At 40.8% G+C, this 5,060-nt stretch overlaps 1 pseudogene; it reads right to left on the bottom strand.

Annotated features, from left to right (window-relative positions):
- PANK3P1 (PANK3 pseudogene 1) lies at positions 291-1,646 on the bottom strand (annotated as a pseudogene).

Raw genomic sequence — 5,060 nt, 5'->3', positions numbered from 1 at the left:
CAGCCTCCCGAATAGCTGAGATTACAGGCATCTGCCATCATGCCCGGCTAAGTTTTGTATTTCTGTAGAGATGGGGTTTCACCATGTTGATCAGGCTGGTCTTGAACTCCTGACCTCAGGTGATCCACCTGCCTCGGCCTCCCAAAGTGGGATTACAGGCTGGAGGCACCACGCCCGCCTTACATTACATTGTGTCTTTTTCAGCATTATTCAGATTCTGTTAGATTTACGTCTAAGTATTTCCTTTTTGTCAGAGATTATACAGTTTACTGTCTTTTTAAATTTTTTTTTTCACGTTACTAAATTCTCTCCCTTAATATGGCAACATTCAGCAGCTTATGCTACTCTTTTATCCTTTGGTTGCCAGTGACAAACAATGCAGTAATAATGCCTCTGGTTTCAGTTCCTCTTGGATGACATTTATTAGCTGAGAGAGAGACCTGGAGCTTTAGCTGAAATTTGGCAGCCCAAGAAGTGCACTAACTGCTCCAAAGTATCCCTCATGTTCTAGAAACAATGCTTTCAGTTGACCTTTTGACGAAAGATCCGGTGCATATGCCAAAAGTTTCATTGAGAGGGTATTGACACATAAAACGTTTCCAACAAAGACAACTCTGTTTATTTTCTCATTAACAGCACACATTCGTGCCACAGAACCAAAGTTATTGGTGATAGTAACTAAAGTAGCTCTTGCCAGATCTTCTTTACTAACAGATGATTCTCGCTTCTCCTTATAAATCATATTCCTAAAACTAGATGCTACAGCTCAACCTGGCAAACCAAATCTTTCATGATCTCCTCCATAAATATCATGGGTCAGCTTGTCAGCTTATGTGCTGTCACCTTTGGAATGCCATTTCAAGAGCCTCTTCAAAACTTTCACAGCCAGTCAATAAACTGCATAAACCCAGAAAGGTACCCTCCCCAAGGCTTGTCCCAGTCATTCGTTTATAGATGTCTTTGGAATGGACTGCTAAAATACTGGCTCCTGAGCCAATGTTCACTACAAGCAGTGGGTAGGGATCATCCAGGTTAAAAGGCATCTTTTGGCATTGCTGAGGTTCTGAGGCATTAGCTAAATAATAGCACTCCGCATGCCCATTGAAACCAACAGTCTATATACAGCAAGCCCTTTACAAGGCAGTCAAGTTCATCCAGTTTGTGCAGGTGGAGGTTTCCAATTGTGCGAAAATCTTTTTCAAACTTGTAGGCACCACCTCCTGTAGCACATAGCACCGTTTGCAATATTGAGAAGTTTTTATCTCTTCCCATTTGGATAAAAGTAGGCAGGTCCTGGGTTGGAAACCTGATAAAGTGCAAGTTCCCTCTTCGGCCAAAAAGTGTTAAATCTTTCAGTTCAAGGTGTACATCCCTAATGCCGGTGGATCCACATGCTACATTAGAAATCAAATATTTTCGAATACTTTTTAAACTCTCAACTTCTTCTTGTTCTTCCTCTGCTGTGATAGCAATAGGTTCAAAGTACGAGAGGTTTACTAGAGTTCCCCCAATGTCCATGCCAAACCATGGGAAAGAGGATTTCTTGCCATCTTTGATCTTCATGGCCTCGGCCGGAGGGGCAAGGGACGGCTTCGGGTCCGGAGCACTGAGAGCAGAGGCTGCAACTTCGGAGGTGGCTGGGCCGCTAGATGAGGCCCGGCGGGTTCCTCCCCTCAGGCTAGGCGGGGTGGCAGCGCCTGAGGGGATGCCCGGCCCACGGGGCGGTCCCCCACCCCCGCGAGGGGCGGCTGGGACTGAGCAAGCTTGGGAAGGCTGACTGCCTGGTGGCTCCGGACCCCGCCCACACACAAACACGCAGCCGCTCCAGACAAAAGTCCCTGGTCCCGGGAGCCGCCACCGCCGCCCTAAAAAATGTATTTTCTAATTATGTTTACTTGACACATAATAATTGCACATATTTGTGAGGCACAGAGAGGTGTTTTGATGCGTACAATGTGTAATAATTAAATATGGGGAATTAGCAAATCCATCGCCTCAGATATTTCTCATTTCTTTGCATTGGGAATATTCCAAATTTTCTCTTCTAGCTATTAGGAAATACATGGTATTACATTTTAAATTTCACTATCCACATGTTCATTGCCGTTATTTGGAGATATAATTTATTTCTGTAGACTTTTATCCTGTGACCTTGCTGTATTACATTTTTAGTTCTAAGAGGTCTCCTTCCCTCCCCCCATAGAGGTTTTTGTTTGTTTTTTTGTTAGTTTTTTGTGAGACAGGGTCTCATTCTTCGCCCAGGCTGGAGTGCAGTGGTGCCATCTCTGCTCATTGCAACCTCTGTCTCCCGGGTTCAAGTGATTCTCATGCTTCACCCTTCCAGGTAGCTGGGATTACAGGCATGTGCCACCATGGTTGGTTAATTTTTGACTTTTTAATAGAGATGGGGTTTTGCCATGTTGGCCATGGCTGGTCTGGAACTCCTGGCCTCAAATGATCCGCCCACCTCAGCCTCCCAAAGTGCTGGGATTACAGGCATGGGCCACCACGCCCAGCCTCCCTTATGCTTTTGACGTCGGCTGAGTCTACAGTGATATCCTCTTTTTATTCCTGATGTTGGTAAACTGTGTCATCTCTCTGCCGAAAATTTCTATCTTGCTAGAGTTCTTCTTTTATTGATCCTTGAAAGGAACTAGCTTTTTGTTTGTTTTTCTATTTTTTGTATGTGTGCGGGTGTTCCATTTCATTGATTTCTGCTTTTATTTTTTATTATTTCCTTTCTTCTATTTGCTTTCGGTTATTTTGCGCTTTTTCCCACCTGGTTTCTTCAAGTAAGAGTTTAGAGGACTGATTTGGGACTTTTTTCTTTTCTAATGTGTGCACTTAGTGCTGTGTATTTCTCTCTCAGCACTCCTTTAGGATGTCTTGGAATTTTTAATATATTGTATTTTCAGTTTTATTCAGGTTAACTTATTTTTTGATGTCTACTAAGGCTTTCTCTTTGTTTTATGAACTGTTTAGTAGTGTGTTGTTCATTTTCCAAGCATTTGGATATTTTTCTGTCATCTTTTTGTGACCGATTTTTAGTTTAATTTCATTGCGGTCAGGGATCATACCATATTAGTTAATTCTTTTAAATTTGTTGAGGTTTGTTTTATGGCCCAGGATATGTTTTACCTTGACCTATATTCTCTGTGGATTTGACAAGTGTGTTCTTCTCTTCTTGTGTGGACTGTTTTATAAATGTTAGCTGAATTCTGGTGGCTGAAGACGATTTTGAGTTTTCAACATTTTTTTTTTTTTTTTTTTTGAGACGGAGTCTCACTCTGTTGCCCAGGCTAGAATGCAGTGCTGCGATCTCGGCTCACTGCAAGCTCCGCCTCCTGGTTTCATGCCATTCTCCTGCCTCAGCCTCCTGAGTAGCTGGGTCTACAGGCGCCCGCCACCACGCCTGGCTAATTTTTTTGTATTTCTTAGTAGAGACTGTGTTTCATCATGTTAGCCAGGATGATCTTGATCTCCTGACCTCATGATTCACCTGCCTCAGATTCCCAAAGTGCTGGGATTACAGGCGTGAGCCACCACACCCGGCCTAGTTCTTCAACATTCTTGCTGATTTTGTTTAGTTGTTCTATCAATCATTATGAGAGAAGTTTTGAAGTCTCCAAAGTAATTGTGGATTTGTCTATTTTTTTTTAAGTTAACTATTTTTTTCTCTTTACATATGTTACAGCTCTGCTGTTTGGTGGTTACATATTTAGGATTGTTATGCCTTCTATTTCTTTCCCTGGCTCTGTCTCTTCTTTCTTTTTCTTCTTTATTTATGCAAGAAAGAACAAATTTACTATTACTTTCCCTACCAAAGCAGTTTCTCATCACTTCCTGACTCTGAGAATTAAATTCTGTTTCCTTCAGATGTCCTTAGTTGATTGACTTACAAACAGGGATTGTAAGCAGGAAAATAGAATAAAACACCTGTTAGATTTGAATACAAATTGAGAAATTTGTATCTTTGTCCCTCCATGGAAACATTTAAAATGGAATGGGAACCACCTGAGAAGCACATATTGTCCACATCTTGGGATCATTTCTGAATATCTTGCCTCTTCAACCAACAATCAGCAACAGTGGAATATGCCAAGACCAGCTCGGTCAGGGAGACCCTAACCCAGCGGTGCTACAGGAATTAAAGACACACACAGAAATATAGAGATGTGAAGTGGGAAATCAGGGGTCTCACAGCCTTCAGAGCTGAGAGCCCTGAACAGAGATTTACCCACATATTTATTAACAGCAAACCAGTCATTAGCATTGTTTCTATAGATATTAAATTAACTAAAAGTATACCTTATGGGCAACGAAGGCATGGGCCGAATTAAAGGAATAGGTTGGGCTAGTTAACTGCAGCAGGAGCATGTCCTTAAGGCACAAATCACTCATGCTATTGTTTGTGGCTTAAGAATGCCTTTAAGCAATTTTCCACCCTGGGTGGGCCAGGTGTTCCTTGCCCTCATTCCCATAAACCTACAACCTTCCAGCTTGGGCATTAGGGCCATTATGAACATGTTACAGTGCTCCAGAGATTTGGTTTATGGCCAGTTTTGGGGCCAGTTTATGGCCAGATTTTGGGGAGCTTGCTCCCAACAGGAATATATATATATATATATATATATATATATATATATATATATATATATATGTACACATACACACACACCCACACACACACACATATACATAAGTATATATATATATACACATACTTTGAGATATATATCTCAAAGATTATTTCTATAAACTATTTGATAATGATTTTCACACATTATATATTTTTAATCCCTAAATTCATCAATGTGTATTTCTTAAAACAAGATCAATTCCTTAACACAGCACAATTATCAAATTCAGTAAACTTAACATTGATAAAATAATATTATCTAATATACAATCTTTAAAAATTTAACTAATTGTATCAATACAATCTTTTACAGAAATTTCTCTCCCAAGCTAGGATCCATTTCACAGACACATATGAATCTAATTGTCTTGACTCTTTAGTCTCCTTTAATTTAGAACAGTTGCTCAATCGTGTCTTTCAC

Source organism: Homo sapiens, chromosome 11 (assembly GCF_000001405.40).
Source record: "Homo sapiens chromosome 11, GRCh38.p14 Primary Assembly".
Taxonomy (NCBI): Eukaryota; Metazoa; Chordata; class Mammalia; order Primates; family Hominidae; genus Homo; species Homo sapiens.
Note: the sequence above shows the minus strand (reverse complement) of the source record. Positions and strands in the feature narration are given on the sequence as shown.